The sequence below is a fragment of the Homo sapiens genome, chromosome 10 (genome assembly GCF_000001405.40).
Source record: "Homo sapiens chromosome 10, GRCh38.p14 Primary Assembly".
Lineage (NCBI taxonomy): Eukaryota > Metazoa > Chordata > Mammalia > Primates > Hominidae > Homo > Homo sapiens.
Window position 1 is genome coordinate 7,800,801 of NC_000010.11, and position 18,438 is coordinate 7,819,238.

Consider the following 18,438-nt stretch of genomic DNA (forward strand, 5'->3'; position numbering starts at 1 on the left):
GGGCTGTTTCTGAGAAGTGCCATCTCTTGACTTCCATGATACTTAATTCAGTCATTGTTTGATAACTCCTGCTCTATTCTGTCATTAATTGAAAAGTCAGTATCTATTGAGGTTCATCATTAGATTTTTTTGTCCTCAAGGATTGAAGAGCGTAGCTAGAAACTGGCTTTGCAAGTTATGTTTGGGACCTCTAACTACAATAAAACAGAAGCTCTAGAATAGAGAGTTGAACAGTGTTCACAGCTAATTTACATTGACTGACTCAATTCTCTTGTTTTATTGTTGGAATAAAGTCATCATTGATCATTGAAGCATCCTGGAATAATATTCTGGAACTGATTTTAGTTTTCTAAGGCTTTTTTCCCTTGTATATACCATCTATTTTCTAATACTTCATTTATTTTCAAGTATGTACTTTACACGTTAATGTTTCTGAAATTGAGATGGCTCTACCAGCCAATGGAACATCATTTATAATTGAGTACATTTTTTTCTCTCTTAATGAGAAATAAAGTAGGTGTTACAACCAGTACCATTTAATGAAATATAGTATTTTGATAATATATAGTACTGTGTCACCACTTGACCCCAATGAATGAATTTTGAAATGTACTTCTAAATTTCTACAACATTAAAACTACGATTCATACCAATTTCTAGTTCTCCCACTCTTTCATGTGCTTTGAAAGGTTTTCCCTCTCTCATTTTCCAGATTGATACATTCAGATTTCTTCAGTAATCAAATGACTAAGTTGGAATTACTGCACAGGTTGAGTATCCCTTGTGTGAATGCTTAGGACCAGAAATGTTTGGGATTTCAGAATATTTTCATATTTATAATGCAGTATCTTGGGGACAGGACCTGAGTCTGTACACCCTATACACATAGCCTGAAGGCAATTTTATGCAATATTTTAAAGAATTTTCTGCATGAAACAAAGTTTCAAATGCACCCCATCACACAAGGTCAGGTGTGGAATTTTCCACTTGTGGCATCACGTCAGTGCTCAAAATGTTTCAGATTTTGGAGCACTTCAGATTTTGGACTTTGGGATTAGGGATGCTCAACCTGTATTACACTAAATTCGTTTCAATTCATTATTATTCTTTTTTACTGGAAAAAGCATTGAGTGCTTGCTGGCTTTGTAACAGGCACATGCTAATGCTGTCCAGAGGGCTTCATAACCACGAGATATAGTGCAGTTATTTCAAATGTTGACCTAATTTTTCTAAAGTTACACATGTGGAGTAGAATATCAAATGGTTTATTTACACATTATATTTTGCTAAAAATATGCTATCATCTGTAGTGTGGAAATAGATGACATTATTAGAACAGATTCATTTACCTTATCTAGCATTAATTTCTGCTCTGTAATTATAAAGGAGTTTTACACTGAAAAGCTGTTTTTGATGAATTACTATTCCTTCCATATAACTTGAAAGAAACTCATCACTTGTTTTAACAGACAGCATGAGTATCTATGACGATATTGATGCTGACGTGCTGCAAAATTACCAAGAATACAATCTGGCCAACATCATCTACTACTCTCTGAAGGAGTCCACCACTAGTGAGCAGAGTGCCAGGATGACAGCCATGGACAATGCCAGCAAGAATGCTTGTAAGTACACAGTATGGACAGTGCCAGCAGGAGTGCTTGTGAGCACACAGTGAATCTCAGCTGAGAGGAGTCCGTGGCCGAGAGTAGCATCAACAACATTAACATGATATTCCTGTACCTGTAAGAAAGTATATCTTGATAGGTAGTTGATTTGCAAGTACTGTGAAAAGGTATCCTATGGAAGATGTAAAAATATCTTCATAACATTATTTGAGAGGCCAATTTTGGTATCCAAAAATTTCTTACTTTTAAATTAAGCAACAGAAGTTAGTTAACAAGTTATTCTACTCTAGTTTCAGATTTTTTATGTAGTGTTTTTGTTTTGTTTGTAGCTGAGATGATTGACAAATTGACATTGACATTCAACCGTACCCGCCAAGCTGTCATCACAAAAGAGTTGATTGAAATTATCTCTGGTGCTGCAGCTCTGTGAGTAATTGTAGATTGTCGCCTTCAGAGAATTTTTTTTCCTCTTGCTGTGTCTGCTTGTTTGGATGCTTAAAAGTTTTTCGTTTTTTTCTTTTGAAGTTGAAACTCATTGCTGAAACTTGCATCCTAACTCTTAGGCTATAAAGATGTGGTAAAAATGGGACCTCTTTGCTTTATTTTTATTGTTTCAGCTGGAAACACTCGGGCTTAGTTTTCGGTTTTCTAAAGGATTAGGAATGGGATGTGGATAATTCAGTATCATTTATGAAATCTTTTTTTGGAATTTAAACAATTGTAAGCCAAGCTTTCTGAGTTACAGGGCTAGTTTCAGATTTGGTTTTACATAAATCTATAAACCATTGCATGTTGGGAAGGTCCAGGAATTTTTTAATCATTATGTTTTTTAATCATTATGTTTTCTATATCAGTACCAAAAGATAGTATAGCCATCCCTCAGTATCTGCAGTGGATTGGTTCCAGTACTCACTCTCACCTCCCCCAGGATACCAAAATCTGAAGATCCTCAAGTCCCTGAAATAAAATAGCACAGTACTACATATAAAAAATGCACATCCTCTCGTATACTTTTAATCATCTCTAGTTATAATGCTATGTAAATTGTTGTTGTATTGGTTTTTGTTTTTATTATTTTATCATTATTTTTGTCTTTTTTCCAAATATTTTACATCGGCTGTTGGTTGAATCCATGGATACTGAGGGCCAACTATATACTGCTTTCCTCAAGAAAATTTCTTAGTTGTTGAAAAACTTTAATGTTTATGAAAAAAAGGTTAAGATAATGGGAATTTTATTCAAAAAGTTATTAAGTTGAATACCCACTATGTGCACAGTACAGTGCTAGACACAGTGTTAAGGATGTGATTCTCTCTTTTAAGGCACTTATATTCTAATAGGATAAGAAACATACAAGTAATTGTGATTAGATAAAACGTGTAGTAAGTTCTTTTTGACTCGTTCCTTCTTACCTCCTGCTAATCAGTTACCATGCTCTTTAAGTTTTACCTTCTAACTATCTCTTGAATCTTCCCCCTTCTTTATGCCCACTTAATGCAGATCCTTGTCATTTCTCTCCTGGGTTCAAAAAGGTAATTATTTGAGTGCCCCTTAAGTGTCAGGCCCTGTGCTAGACACTGAGGATACAGTGGTAACAGTATTTGCCTTCAGAGAGCTCAGTCTTCACAGTAAAGGCAGACACTAAATAAGAAGTCACAGCAGAACAGAGGTTGCTAAACTGTGGCCTGGAGCTAAGAATGGGTTCTGCATTTTTAAAGGGATATAAGAAAAAGGAGAGTGATAGCGTGTGACCCACAGAGTGCAGAATACTTGCTGTGTGGCCCTTCACCGAAAAAATTTGCCTATTCTTGTGACAGTGTTATGAGGAAAATAACAAAATCCATTCTCTGTTATACACTCATTCTGCAGAAACACTCGATGTATGTGATCCTATATTTTCTGGTCACCAGCACTCTTCCCAGTCCAGTCTCTTACCATTACCATTTCTCACGTCCTTGAACCTCAGCCACCTTGATCTACTTCCAGATCTACAGATTCGTCACTCTTTCTCGCGGCCAGGGAGTGGCATGTGCTGCAGCCTGAAAAGCCACTATTTCTTCCCTTGCTCCCTTGATTCTTCATCTGACTGCCTCCTGTGTATCCTTCCTTACTCAGCTGGGGGAATCCTTTCTTCCAGAAAACACTCCTTCCTTCAGTCTGAGTGAGGCAGCCTTCTGCAGCATCCTGTCTTCCATTTAGCTTAGCTCTTACAGCCTTGTATGAGGAATTGGCTTTTTATTTGTCTGTGTGCTCCTCGAGGCTAGGATGGGACCATATCTTATTCACTTTTGTGTCCCCATTGCCTGGTACATACCTCCTTCGTGAATGTTGAATGAATGAATGAAATGCCATATGTATTCAGAACTGGAAGTTCAGAAGAGGGACAAATAACATTTTATTGGGTGTATGAAAATGTGGGTCCATGGTTTTAAGAGTCAGGGAAAAGTTCATCACTATTTAAAGTGTTCCTTAAGTGTTACTTTTCAAGGGCAGAAACTGGGCAGAATGCCAGAGAGACACAACTAGAACTTTTTGAGCCAACAGAGACCTTTGTGTAAGTTGTTAGTTGGATCCATCAGCCTCGCTATCCTAAGCATTCTTCTCTTATTTTACTTTCTAAGCACAGCTGTGTTAGGACTAACCCATTCACAGCCTGGTCACCAATGTTCTATCAGCATCACAGAATACTGTCTCATGGTGTCTAGCTTGATGAACTTGGTTAGGATACTCTCTCTGTTACTCAGCTTTGTCATCTGTAACATGGGGACTAATACAAGGACTAAAACCTTCTATTAGCCATTATCCTTCTTGCCATCTACCCCATGTTAAAGCCAGGCTGATTTGTTCTTGGATCTTAAGTGTGACAAAGCCTGCGGGAAGGAACCACATTCTGAAGGTTTGTGGGCTGTGTGAGATCCAGAGAACCCAAGGGGGTTTTTTTGCTCTTGACAAACGAATGTTAGGTATGACCTATGATGATACAACTTCTGCAAAATTGAGGACCAGCCTATTTCTTCATTAGAAATGCAGGAAACCTGGCCGGGCGCAGGGGCTGACGCCTGTAATCTCAGCACTTTGGGAGGCAGAGGTGGGCGGATCACAAGGTCAGGAGATTGAGACCATCCTGGCTAACTCGGTGAAACCCCGTCTCTACTAAAAATACAAAAAATTAGCTGGGCGTGGTGGTGGGCGCCTGTAGTCCCAGCTACTATGGAGGCTGAGGCAGGAGAATGGCATGAACCTGGGAGGCGGAGCTTGCAGTGAGCCGAGATTGCGCCACTGCACTCCAGCCTGGGCAAAAGAGCAAGACTCCTTCTCAAAAAAAAAAAAAAAAAAAAAAAGAAATGCAGGAAACCTATTTAAAAGTAACAGAAACAGCTGGGTGCATTGGCTCATGCTTGTAATCCCAGCATTTTGGGAGACCGAAGCGAGTGGATTGCTTGAGCCCAGGAGTTCAAGACAAGCCTGAGCAACATAGCAAGACCCCATCTCTACAAAAATGAAAAAATTAGCCAGGCCTGGTGGCATGTGCCTGTTGTCCTAGCTACTCAGGAAATTGAGGCAGGAGGATTGCTTGAGCCCAGGAGTTTTAGGCTGCGGTGAGCTATGATCGTGCCACTGCACAAAACCAAGAATTTAGAAAAAGGAATCCACATAATTGGAAATTGAGTATTAAGTTTTTGCTTCCTAGGAAGGTAGTCTAAATCCTTATACAAAAACTTAGCTATGCAGTGCCAAGGTTGGATTGCTTGTGAATGGGTTTGCATGCTCTGTAACCTATCAGTTATTCTGAATCAAGACTTGAATATTTAAACATACTTGGAAAAGAAAAAGATCAAAAAACAAAATAAACATATTTGGCTATTTAGTAATATAATTAAGAACATGAGTAAACCATAGTATTCGAGGTCCAAGTATTAGTTGCCAGCCTAAAAACTAAATATGGCCAGGCGCAGTGGCTCATGCCTGTAATCCCAGCACTTTGGGAGGCCGAGGCGGGTGGATCACCTGAGGTCAGGAGTTCCAGACCAGCCTGGCCAACATGGCAAAACCCCGTCTCTACTAAAAAAGTACAAAAATTAGCTGGGCGTGGTGGCGGGCACCTGTAATCCCAGCTACTCGGGAGGCTGAGGCAGGAGAATGACTTGAACCCAGGAGGAGGTTGCAGTGAGCTGAGATCACGCCACTGCACTCCAGCCTGGGCAACAGAACAAGACTCCATCTCCAAAAAAAAAAAAAACCTCTAAATATATTGTGTTAATTTATAGAAAAATTGTAATTTAAATTACATATTCATAGTCTTGCCTACTTGCATGAGCATGTTTTTATTGCTTCTAACCTGGATTGAAATCTATGACTTTTTATAACAGTCATTGAGTCTGTTTCAAAGGAATCTTGTGGTAAGTATTTTTGCATGATGTACTCAAGGTATCAAGTTTAACAATTGACTTTTTTTCATTGGAAAGCATATGTGATTAACTAGCATGGATTGCTTCTTGACCTGCTTGTTTTGTGTTTGTCTTTTTCTTCTAATATAATAACCAGGGATTAATGAAAATCAAGTTCCATCCTCAGACAAGAGGTAAAGTTCACACATTCTTCCCATGTCTGTTCAGAAAAGAAACCTATTCAGATATAAGTTAAGCTAATTTAGTAATCCTAGAATTGTCCTCTGAGAGATTTAGATGGATGGGCCACTTCACAGTAGCAGCCAACTCACGGGAGCACCTGGGCAACGCTAGTGGACTTTTTTGTAGTGAGTGTGTTGATCATAGAAAATGTAGATATAAGGAAATAAACTTTGAGGATAGAGAATTAACATTATTTTGAGATATTATATATAGGTTGTGAAGAGTGGTGGTTGTCACACTTTATGGTCTCTGGACCCCTTAATGTCTGATTCATGTAGCAGAAGCCAGCTAGATTTTCATCTGTCTCTATTCATTTTGTTGTGATGTCATGGATCATGTGGCCTCTGGAAAACTCTACTGTATACTCGAGAATGAGAATATAACAGGCAAAATAACATTATCATGAAAATAGTTTTGACCTCATGAACCCCATGAAAGGTTCCCCAGACCAAAATTTTAGAATCACTGGTATAGGGTAACACTTTATTGTGTAAATTCAGTTCTCTGTACCCCACTTAAATATGTATTATTATCTCTTGACATTATTTTCCCAAAAAATGCTGTTTGATTTCTTACTTGTTCTGTACTTTGTTTTTCAGGTAAAGAAGGAAAATTCAGCCAGTTGATTTTGTTTTTAGCTTACTGCTGCCTTTGTCCGAAGAAACTGTTCCTCCATTATTTGAATTACTGAAGACAGCAAGATATTTGTAAATTATCTTAAAATAAACAACTTAAAATAAAATCATTGTTTTTCTTATATATAAGAACAATAGATATAGTTTTTGAAATGAGATGATACTAAAACATTTAAAAATATTAATATGCTACTATTAAAATTTTTTAGTAGAAGACAATTTAAGAGGCTCTTTTGATTTGGTAGTGCTCCACTGACCTTAAAATGTCTAGCCTCTATGGGGACAACGTAGAGGGAAAGGGCTGCAGCCACAGCCTCAGCCCAGTTCTGTGCCTTATTACAGCCTTAAAGAACAGTCAACAAGACCAGGCACGGTGGCTCATGCCTGCAGTCCTAACACTTTGGGAGACTGAGACTCAAGGTGGATCACTGGAGGTCAGGAATTTGAGACTAGCCTGGCCAACATGGTGAAACCCTGTTTCTACTAAAAACAAAACAAAATACAAAAATGGTGCACACTTGTAATCCCAGCTACTCAGGAGGCTGAGGCAGGAGAATCGGTTAAACCTGGGAGGCAGAGGTTGCAGTGAGCTGAGATCGCGCCACTGTACTCCAGCCTGGGCAACAGAGTAAGACTCTGTTCCAAAAAAAAAAAAAAAATGCCACAGGAAGCATTTGCTTGGAATTCTGGATACAAAATTGCAAGCATATACTTACTCTAAATTATTTAAAACATCTTTTCTAAACACTGAGAAAAGTACGATACTCACATTTAGATCACAATTAAGATTAGATGCCTGCGTTGACTCCACACTCTGAGTTGGCCATGCCAAAATTTCAGGCTTTTCCCTATTTGTTTAAAATTGATAACTTAGTTTTTTGGGTTTTTTTTAATTACAAAAGTAATATATAAATTCCAAAATACATAAAATTATAAACAATATAAAACCCATTCTTAACAAGCTCCTCTTTTAAAAACAAATGAATGCATGTATTTAGAATGGATTCTTTAAATATTTACAGCTATATTCGTGGTAATGAATAAAAAGGTTCAGTGAACTGACCAGAGCTTCAAAGTCATTTTCTAACTCCCCTCAAAGTTTTCAGGAGCCACTTCTGAAGGGGTTGGTGGCTGAGACTAGGAGAAAGAAACAGCTCACAACTGAGGAATCAGATGGAGGTGTAGTGTGAACCAGTACAAGATACCTTTTGGGAATGTTAGCAACGAACCACGTGCCTCTGGAGGCTGTGTGTATGTGTGTGTGTGTGTGTGCACGCCACTATACCTGGCTAATTTAAAAAAAAATTTTTTTTTTAGAGATGGGGTCTTGCTATTTTGCCCAGTCTGGTCTTGAACTCCTGGGCTCAAGTGATCCTCCTTAGCCCTGCAAAGTGCTGGAATTACAGGTGTGAGCCACCATGCCCATCCTGTTTTGTATTTTGCTTCTAAGCTTGGCTTGACCCACCTCCAGTTTCTAGGAGAGCAGAACACATTTGTGAGGGTGATTTGAGTGTCCTAGACATCATGGAAGGAGGAAAAGCAGGAATTTGAAATCAGTCAACATAAGTAAGAATAATCTGTGTCTGAACTGGAATACTAGCTCAGCCCTTAACAGCTGTGACCTTGGGCAAGTTACTTAATCTTTCAGTTTTATGATCTATAAGATGGAGATTAAAAGATTGTTAGGATTAAATGAGCTAATATTTTAAAATATCGAGAATCTGACAGGGAGTAAGTGCTATATTCTTGGTTAAATGTCTGCTCTATGTAAAATTAATCATCAGCTCCCTGTAGCCTTTAGTGGTGCTCTTCTGTGTACTGGCACTCTGACTCTCTGAGGATACAATAACAAAACGCCTCCTTGCAGGAGCTTACAGTCTGGAGGGAACACAAGCAAATGACAGAATGTGGTAAGTTACAATTGGTGAGCCACAAGAGGGACAGTGACTCAATTTGGGGACAGATGAAGGGGACTGAGAAGGCCGTCCAGCTTGGAGGAAGGGAGGTCTAAACAGTCCTCAAGGACCAGTGACCAACAGTAGAAATTAAACTACTAGAGCTAACTGGTGGGGAGGGAAGGCATTTCAGGCCAAGGAAGCAGAAAAAGCAAAGACCAAAATCTGTTCAAATGCACATTCTGAAAACTGCTAATACAGAGAACGAGAAAGGCAAGATAAATCTGGAAAGGTGAGTGTACCATGCTGTGTGGTTTAGACATGTAGGAAGGAATCAAAGAGTAAGCTTGAAATTTTCCCCCAACTTCTGTCCTCTCCTTTTGCTAAGTGGCATAACACAGTGGAATTACAGTGATAAATGACCACTGGTAAGGTTTATTACATAATTCAAACTGCTTTTTTTTTTGAGATGAGGTCTGGCTCTTATCGCCCAGGCTGGAGTGCAGTGGCAGGATCTTGACTTACTGCAAACTTCACCTCCTGGGCTCAAGCCATCCTCCCACCTCAGCCTCCCAAGTAACTGGGACTACACCATGCCTGGCTGATTTTTGTATTTTTAGTAGAGACAGGGTTTTGCCATGTTGCCCAGGCTGGTCTCGAACTCCTGGCCTCAGTGATCTGCCTGGCTCGGCCTCCTGAAGTGCTGGGATTACAGGAGTGAGCCACTGCTCCTGGCTATCCTATTTTCTGCAAACACCTACACAGTACCTAAAGGGCTAGGTCTGTTAATTTTAATATTCTAGGATTGAGTTTCCATCATTACAACTGTTGTCTATAATGTGCCCTTTAGGAAACTGTTTCTCTGTGTGCTTTAATATAGAATAGTTGAAGCTTTCAGAAATTTTATTATCATTATTCAAAACTCTCTAAATGAAGCTTAAGAACTGTGCAGTCACTGAGCTCCTGGCACCAACTGAAGAAAAAGTGCTGCCGTTGGCTGAAGTTGGGCTCACTGGTCCTCAACTGTAACCCTCGTCAGCATTGACCGCTACGCCCCAGTACTCGCCTTTCCCACATTGCTCTTGGTTCTTTTCCTTGTCCACCAAGACAGAATGATAAGGATCAGGCCTCTTGGATGAGTCTGAGCTCTGATCTCAGGAAGAAATTTCGTTCTACAGATCTCATGCCCCGCTAAGCTGTGTGCAGTCTCACTGCTAAAGAAGCAGCTGCTCTCCATTTCTGCCACTCCTGCTCTTGAACAGGTTCCTGATTCCTGGCCTCCACTGTTCACTTCTAGTTACTCTCTTCAAAGAGTGGCTTCACTGAGACATCATCCACATGCCATGAAATTCACCCTTCTAAATTCTACCACTCAGTGGTTTTTCATATATTCAGAGTTGTGCTCTAATCCACTCTCTATATCATTGCAAGATGAATTGTGCTAAAAGGCATTACTGAAATATGACTAACTGCTAGGTACTATTTACTAGTGAATGAGACGAACACAGATCCTGCCTCTACCCCCGCAAAGTATACAGCAAAGAATGGAATGATTTTAGTTTCGGACATCCCTCAAACATTAATTACATTTGAGTGATATATTGGACATCCAAGCAGACATTAGTCATTAGATGCAGTTAGCTACGCTAGTATAGCACTCAGGAACAATCCAAGATAAAGTGTTATATTAAGGAGTCATCTTTACACAGCTAATGATGAAATCACTGAGGTGAATCCTATGAAAAGAGAACACTGTAAAAGCAGACAAAAGCTGCCAGGCGTAGTGGCTCATGCCTGTAATCCCAGCAGTTTGGGAGGCCGAGGTGGGCAAATTGCTTGAGCCCAGCGGTTTGAGACTAGCCTCGGCCACATAGCAAAACCCATCTCTACAAAAAAGACAAAAATGAGCCAGGCATGGTGACATGTGCCTGTGGTCCCAGCTACTCAGGAGCCTGAGGTAGAAAGATTGCTTGAACCTGGGAGGTCGAGGCTGCAGTGAGCTGTGACCAGGCATGATGGTGCATGCCTGTAATCCCAGCTTTTTGGGAGGCTGAGGCAGGAGAATCACTTGAACCTGCGAGGCAGAGGTTGCAGTGAGCTGAGATCGTACCACTTCACTCCAGCTTGGGTGACAGAGCAAGACTCTGTCTCAACAAAACAAGCAAACAAACAAAAAAAGTAATAAAAGGCAAAGACATTGCAGGATAAGTCAAATCTTTGATATTGAAGCCAGGTTTCTCACTTTGGGAGAGACAGGATATGCAAATAGGACATGGGAGGAGAAAAGGGATATGTAATTTTAGACTTGAATTAGAGGCATCTGTGTGTACTTTGCACTTCAAAAGTACACATATTGCTGGGTGCAGTGGGTCACGCCTGTAATCCCAGCACTTTAGGAGGCCGAGGTGGGCGGATCACCTGAGGTCAGGAGTTAGAGACCAGCCTGGCCAACATGGTGAAACCCCATCTGTACTAAAAATACAAAAAATTAGCCGGGCAAGGTCGTGCACCTGTAATCCCAGCTACTCGGGAGACTGAGGCAGGAGAATCGCTTGAACACGGGAGGCAGAGGTTGCGGTGAGCCGAGACCAGCCATTGCACTCCAGCCTGGGTGACAGAGCAAGACTCCGTCTCAAAAAAAAAAAAGATACATATTTTTTAGTTCTTTCCACTACAAGGGCCCTGAAGCAATGATTTCCCTGTAGTAATGAAGGTCAGCTAGCACACGTCTGGGTTCTAAATAATATTCCTTTCTAAGAAGAACCAGGGCTCCTCAGAGAGATGTCTACTTCCAAGCTTAGAGCAAGAGAAGCACAAGGTGAGCCTGGAAAATCTAGTGGCACCAAATAGCAAGTCCTCCATGAATGATGGTGACACAGTACAAGAATACAGTGGCCGGCTGGAAAGGGCTCCCACTGGCCAAATACGGGACAATTTAAGCAGCAAGAGAATCACGAAGGTAATGGATCATGACACACCAGCTAAAGAAAAGAATCCGTGCTGGGTGCAGTGGCTCATGCCTTGTAATCCCAAAACTTTGAGAGGCCAAGGCAGGTGGGAGTTACAGACCAGCCCGGCCAACATGGTGAAACCCCATCTCTACTAAAAAGACAAAAATTAGCCAGGTGTGGTGGTGCACGCCTATAATCCCAGCTACTTGGGAGGCTGAGACAGGAGAATCGCTTGAACCCGAGAGGCGGAGGTTGCAGTGAGCCAAGATCTCGCCATTGCACTCCAGCCTGGGCAACAAGAGCAAAACTCCGTCTCAAAAAATAAATAAATAAATAAATAAAATGTAAAGCCATAAAAGGCATTTGGGGACAATGGGAAAATCTGAACACGCACTTTATTTTGTGGGATATTATTGTGTCAATCTTAGTTTGCTGAGTGTGATCATGGTATTATGGGGAGGTGGGAGCTGTGATGCACCATCCAGATCCCCCTTCAGAAGGACCTTCCACTGGGAATGGTGGAAGCACACAGCCCCCAGCTGCCAACCCTCGTTGGAATTGCCTCAGCTGGAGATCACCTTGCCCAAGGTCATGGCCCCCTCCGGAAGCACCTACATCCAGTGTCTGATCAGTATGAGAGTATAAAGACCCCCTGCCTGGCTCAGGACACTGCAAAGGGCCATTCCAGCCTTACAGCTCTCTGTGGGCTTGACTGAGGCCTTTGTGAGCTGGAGCCCAATGTCTCCCTATCCCAGTCCTGCTCTCTCCCCTTTCCCGTCCCCCCCTTTCCCATCCCCCTTCCTCTCCCTTCCACCTTTCCTCCTCAACCTCTCCCCATCCCTTCCCCTCCCCAAGCCCCTCCCTTCTCAACACTGCCCTTCCCTAGTCCTGCTTCCTGCCTGCCCTCCTCTTCTCTCTGCCAGGCGGTGACCCCAAGAGCCCTCCTCTGAGGTTAATCTTCATCTCAGAGACAGCCTCCTGGGGAGTCCAGCTTGGGACATTTGGTGCCGGAGAGGTCTGAAAGAGCAGATGCAAGATGGGATTTTGGAGCTGGATTCCCCCACTGGCTGGCGGTGAGGACTTCAGTATGGGTGGTGGATGGAGCACAGAGGTGCTACCTGACACAAGGCAGCAGTTCCTGAATATGCAAGTCTTAAAACTTCCACCAGGGGTGAACAGGGTAGTAAAACAGTGGAAGCAAGCTGGGACAATGTATGAATGTACCAGATATTTGAGAAATATGGAGCTCATGGGACCCCAAAAATCATAGAAACCAGGTGGCAATACTTAACTATTTAGCAGTCTGAAGCCAAGTGAATGCAGTTATGCGTGAGAGCAATCAGAGGGGTGTGGGCTTACCTGGTGAGTTACGGGGATGGTTCATAGAATAAGGGGTCCCTGGGCGAAATGGATGGACGCCAACACGTGGGCTACTCAATCTGGTCCATCAAAATAATTCAAGGATGGGTAGTCGGGGGTGAGGGCAGATACTCCCATAACCAGTCATGATTCCATGCCCCATTCCTGGATCCAAGCCAGCTTTCAGACTGAAACCCTATTGACTGAAGAAGAGGCTGAGTCTTCAGGAAGAAGAATGCTGCAGCACCAAACGGCGAAGGTAATGATCCCCCCACTCCTTTTGCAAAAGAACCTACGACCATTACTCAGGTAACGGTCCACTGGGGAAAGGGAAACCCACACATTTTGAGGAAGCTGAGAATGAAACCAGGAGATGCGGAGTCATCACGAGTCCCTTGTCAGAGTGGGGGCATCTGAGGCCAAGTGGCACCTGGAGTCTTGGCCCAGGCTCAGCTCACACTTAGACCTACTCAGTGGCCAATTCCCTGATTCCTGAATGTGTCACTGGAACAGACATACTGGGATGTTGGCACAACCCCTACGCTGGTTCTTTGGCCCATAGGTAAGAACTTTGGGCATGGGAGGGTTGAGGAGATGACTTTGAAACTGCCCCTGCAGCTGGGGCGGGGTGGGCAGAAATCATGACCTAAAGGATGCTGAGGCTGTGGGTCACTATATTTTCATTTCATCTGACAGTCTGGCTCCTGCAAATATGAGATGCATCTTGAAGGGTGAGAGTGAACTGTTGTAAACTTAGCCAAGTAGTAACCCTGGTTGCAGTTGCTGTGCCAGATGTGGTGTCTTTGCTAGAACAGATAGACATTGTCTCAAGCATATGGCATGCGGTCATTGGCTGGTGAAAGTTGTCTTTTCCATCCCAAACAGAAAGGATCAGAAATAGTTTCTATTCAGTTGGAACAGGCAACAGTATACATTTTGGTCTTGTCCTAGAGCTATGTTAATTCTCTCACCCTGTGTCATCATACACAGACGGTCCCCAACTTAACGATGGTTTAATTTATGATTTTCAACTTTGCGATGGTACAAATGGAATATGCATTCAGTAGAAACCACACTTTGAATTTTGATCTTTTCTCAGGCTAGCAATATGTGGTACCATGCTCTCTCATGATGCCGGACACAGGCTGTGAGCCACAATTCCTAGTCAGCCATGTGATAACGAGGGTAAACATTCATTGTGATAAGAAATAGATATATACTCTGGGTATGGATTTGCCTTTCCTGCTCATCTTGTTTGAGCCACTGGGTTCCCATATCACGCTATGTCAGCCTAAGGGGCCCATTTTACAATAAAGGAAACGTGGGAGTGGGCACAAGGCTATGAAACCCACGGGTCATATCATACACCACACCACTCAGAAGCTGTCAGCCTGGCAGAGCAATGGAATAGACTTTTTTAGGCACAATGAAAGCACCAGCACACAGGCAATACCTTCTGAGGATGGGCCTGATCCCCTAGGCTGCTGTGCACTCTTTAAGCCAACAACCTTTTTTCTTTTTGTAGAGACAGGGTCTCACTGTTGCCCAGGCTGGAGTGCAGTGACTCGATCATAGCTCGCCGTAGCCTCAAACTCCTGGGCTCAAGTTATCTTCTGGCCTCTGCCTCCTGAGTAGCTGGGGCTAATTTCTTTATATATATATATATATATATATATATATATATATATTTTTTTTTTTTTTTTTTTTTTTTTTTTTTGTAGAGATGGGGGTTTCACTATGCTGCTAGGGCTTGTCTTGAACTCCTGGCCTCAAGCCATCTACCTGCCTTGGCCTCTCAAAGTATTGAGATTAAAGGCATGAGCCACTGTGCCCCACCAAGTCAATGACTTCTGTGATGCTGGGTTCCCAATAAGTAGATGACACAGGGTGGAGACTGGGGTTTCTCCACTTACATCACTCCCAGGGACCCACCTGGGAAATTGTTCTTCCTGTCCTGCCACTCTGGGTTCTCCAGGTTTACAGATCCCATTTCCAAAAGGGGGAATGCTTTCACCAGAGGACCTAGCAGGAGTCCCACTGAAACATTAGCTACAGTTGCTGCCTGGGCACTTCCACTGAGACTGCAGCTAAGAGAGGAGTCATCTTTAGGAGGGGGATGGGCTCCTATTACAGAGTGGGAGGCAAGGTGGAGTGTTTGGTTTCCACATGGTCTGTTTGGGTGCCTCTTGCCCAATTTTGGGTATTCTCTTCCCCAGTTCTGATGGTACAAGGACGAGTTCAGCAGCCACAGTCTGAAAAGGGCCTGGAAACCAGGGGCTCAGACCTGCACATGAGGGTCTGCATCATGCCACCAAATAAGCTACTGAGACCAGAAGTGAGAGAAATGTAGGCCTGAGGAGGAGAATACTGAGTATCAGCTGAGGCCTGGCTGCAGCAGTCGGGGCTCTAATTTGTCTCCTGACCTTCCTCTTTAATGTTTTCCCCAGGGAAAGGGCCCCCTCCAGAATCCTGGAGGAGCTGTTCCTCAAACCAAGAAGTGTCTCTGAGGGTAAAATAGATGAACTGTGATGAATGCTCTAATCCACTGCTCAGAGCCCCCTCAGGACTGAAGGACTTCAGCTGTCCTTGGAATTGAATGGACTCAGCTGCAGTGTTCCTTTGCCTGAGAGCACACACCCTTTCCCAGGTAGCCCTCATGCAGTGACCTGTTCCTATGGGAATATAAAGGTCCAGTCTTCTTGTTTGGATTCAGGGAAGCTCTGAAGGGCCACTCCAGCTTCTGCACACTATGGCATTGGCTTGGCTGAGGCTTTCTTGCCAAGGAATTCACTGCACCCTGGCTTTCACTCCTTCCCCCAAGTCCCAGGAGGATCCCTCAATGAACTTTCTGCAGGCTCATCTCTATTTCAGAGTTGACTTCCTGGGGAACCAAGCCTGTGACATATGGTCTTGTGTATAGTTATGTGGGGGAATGTTCTTGTTTTGGGGTGATACATGTCGAGGTGTGGTGGGGTTAAGTGTCATGAAGTTTGCAGCTTATTTTCAAACTGCTGGAAAAAAAATACCTGCGTGCATATATAAATACAAAATATATAGTAAATTGGCAAAATGTTAACAATTGGTGAATCTAGTTGAAGTGTACACGTGAGTCTATGATTTTGTTTCAACTTTTCTGTAGGTTTGAAATTTTCCGAAATAAAATCCCCTCCCCTATACACAGAAAGGCAAATGAAGAGGAACAAACACCCAGGGTGGCGGCGGTAGCGGGACAGATTTGTGAAATCCAAGGCGCAAGAGAGTTTCAATGTTACAGAAGCGTTCAACATTATCAAATAGCTACAAAATAATCAAGTACGGCTAGGACTGAAAAATGTCTCATAGATTTAGCAACACAATGTTCCTGATAACTTGGGGACAGAGTGTCCAGGGAGTAAATGCAGGCACCTTGCCCTTTAGTACCTTGCTTCTCTGCAGATCGTCATTTAGCTGAAGAACCATAATTTCAGTTCTATTATTGAGTTTCCCAGACTTTGAAAAATGTGAATATCATGTTCAAAGTTCTGGAATAGTCCCTGTCGGAGGAATATAGAGCCACTCATAAACTCGCAATTTATTGGAGGAGCACATAAACTAAATACACTGTGATAAGTACAGAAGGGCATATTTAAGAAACCGCATAGTTCAGCCACTACAATCGGGCGACCTGCAGGCTGAATCTAGACTAACCGTGGGATCAGTTTGGCTTTTGAGATGTGTTCCCAATTCTGTATTTAAAAATCAAGATATTTATCCCTAAATCCGATTTCTGGCAATACTTGGATGGAGCTGGGAGAAGGCTCTGGGGTAGGCAACCGTTCCCAGGACACTCGGCCTGCGACACCGGTTTAAGGCTCGGTTTGGCCTCTGTAGGCAGCCGAGGTCCCCATCCCCCGATAGGTCACAGCCGCGATGCTCAAATCGCACACTATAGCCCACAGGCAGCTTACCTGTTTTTTTTAAAAAAAAAAAAAAAAAAAAAGTTTTATTGGAACCAGGGCTGGGATTAGAATGACATGAGTGAGTCAGGAGTTTATGGCATGGATTTGGATTTTTTTAAAAAAACTGTTAAAATATTATCGATCTTGATGACTGAGTTTTTTGAGGCCCCCATTAATTTGGCACAGAGTCCTCCTAGTTCCTGCCCTATTGCGAAGGGCTTTGAAGGGCATGCGGAACAGCTTGGACTTTATTTAATCTTTGCAGTGGCAAGCAGCTCAATACACAGATTTTTAGCTGAGGCAACACCAGCGCAGGTCTGCGTTTGGCGAGCTCCGTAAGTTCCCACGCCCCAAACTTCTCTCTAGCACATAACTCTCTAATATGACTAACGTTATTAGTGCTAACTCTCTAACCTGTCAATGTCGTATCCCAGATCCCTCGTTTGCCTCTAAAACACTGGCGTTTTCGTCACCGCTGTCCCCCAGGTGAGCGCCCCAGCACCTGCCGCCCTGGGCGCCTCCTCCACCTGCGCGCCCCACGCCCGCTTCCGGCCGGCTTCCAGGCCTCAGAGGCGATCCCGAGGAATCGTTCCGCTCCCAAGGGGCGGAGCTTTCTCATCGCCGCGCTCGGCATTCGGCTTATGCTGCCTCGCCCCGGCGGCCGTCCAGCGGGAGGCGGAGCGAGTCCAAAATGGCGGCTCTCAGGCTGGCGCGCTCCGTGCTGCTGGGGCTTTGAGGTGGTCGCCGGGGGTCCGGGGGACCCTTTCCCCGCCGCGGAAGCCCTAGAGGATGAATCGGGGACCCTGCTAAGGTCTGGCGGCGGGGCTGGAGAGCAGTGGCAGCAAGGGCTGCGGTGGCGTCCACGCAGCGGGATGTGCGAGAGTTACTCCAGGTCGTTGTTGAGGGTCTCGGTGGCGCAGATCTGCCAGGCGCTGGGCTGGGACTCGGTGCAGCTCAGCGCCTGCCACCTCCTCACGGACGTGCTGCAGCGCTATCTGCAGCAGCTGGGCCGGGGCTGCCATCGGTACTCTGAGCTCTGTGAGTACCGGGCTGGGTGCGGGAGGGCTGCCCCGGCAAGTCAAGGGTGACACCTTCGCTCTCCCTGTCCCTCCGCGTCCCCGGGGTGTGCATCCCGCACCCCGCCTCGAGATCTGCTGTTTCCTCGGCCTCCCACGTCCCTGGGCTTCCACTGCCGCTCCAAACTCTAGTCATCCTTCGGGTGCCTCTTCCTTATCCGCTAACTTCCCGCCACCAGCCCGGGAGTCGGGTCTTCGCTCCCAGCTCCACACCCTCCTACCGCTCCTCCGCTCTGAATTGTGTCTGGATCTCTCTCATTGTCTCCTGTTTGCTGCGGGTAGATCCACCCCCAGCGTGCCCTACACCCTCTTTTACCTCGGTCCT

At 43.9% G+C, this 18,438-nt stretch overlaps 2 protein-coding genes and 1 long non-coding RNA gene across 8 annotated transcripts in view, besides 3 other annotated features; 2 read left to right on the forward strand and 1 right to left on the reverse strand.

The window, feature by feature from the left end:
• The window catches only part of ATP5F1C (ATP synthase F1 subunit gamma), a 19,625-nt gene extending 12,624 nt beyond the window's left edge, over positions 1–7,001 (forward strand). For 2 of the 5 annotated variants that reach the window (NM_001001973.3, NM_001320886.2), the window contains 4 exons: positions 1,470–1,625; positions 1,958–2,054; positions 6,174–6,210; positions 6,859–7,001. In NM_001001973.3, coding sequence (NP_001001973.1) covers positions 1,470–1,625; positions 1,958–2,054; positions 6,174–6,180 — 260 coding nt within the window. In that variant the 3' untranslated portion in view covers positions 6,181–6,210; positions 6,859–7,001. Of the gene's footprint in view, positions 1–1,469; positions 1,626–1,957; positions 2,055–6,173; positions 6,217–6,858 lie in introns of those variants that run through there. The other 3 variants (NM_005174.4, XM_017016290.2, XM_047425254.1) reach the window with 2 other exon arrangements.
• The window catches only part of LOC105376392 (uncharacterized), an 18,933-nt gene extending 1,370 nt beyond the window's left edge, over positions 1–17,563 (reverse strand). Inside the window, exons 1-2 of the long non-coding RNA XR_001747356.1 lie at positions 17,452–17,563; positions 7,664–7,742 (exon numbers count right to left, since the gene is read on the reverse strand). This is a non-coding gene — a long non-coding RNA (uncharacterized LOC105376392). The remainder of the gene's footprint in view (positions 1–7,663; positions 7,743–17,451) is intronic.
• Positions 17,381–17,899: an enhancer, noted in NCBI's record as "H3K27ac hESC enhancer chr10:7860144-7860662 (GRCh37/hg19 assembly coordinates)". NCBI's record gives its function as "activates a minimal SCP1, AML or CMV promoter by ChIP-STARR-seq in primed H9 embryonic stem cells {active_cell/tissue: H9 hESC(primed)}" and the evidence as "EXISTENCE:reporter gene assay evidence [ECO:0000049][PMID:30033119]".
• Positions 17,705–18,438, forward strand: part of TAF3 (TATA-box binding protein associated factor 3) — a 198,127-nt gene continuing 197,393 nt past the window's right edge. For both annotated transcript variants that reach the window (NM_031923.4, XM_011519741.2), the window contains exon 1: positions 17,705–18,075. In NM_031923.4, the coding sequence (NP_114129.1) occupies positions 17,910–18,075 (166 nt within the window). In that variant the 5' untranslated portion in view covers positions 17,705–17,909. The remainder of the gene's footprint in view (positions 18,076–18,438) is intronic.
• Positions 17,712–17,771: an enhancer, noted in NCBI's record as "active region_2982". NCBI's record gives its function as "activates an Ori minimal core promoter by ATAC-STARR-seq in GM12878 lymphoblastoid cells {active_cell/tissue: GM12878}" and the evidence as "EXISTENCE:reporter gene assay evidence [ECO:0000049][PMID:35858748]".
• Positions 17,900–18,417: an enhancer, noted in NCBI's record as "H3K27ac hESC enhancer chr10:7860663-7861180 (GRCh37/hg19 assembly coordinates)". NCBI's record gives its function as "activates a minimal SCP1, AML or CMV promoter by ChIP-STARR-seq in primed H9 embryonic stem cells {active_cell/tissue: H9 hESC(primed)}" and the evidence as "EXISTENCE:reporter gene assay evidence [ECO:0000049][PMID:30033119]".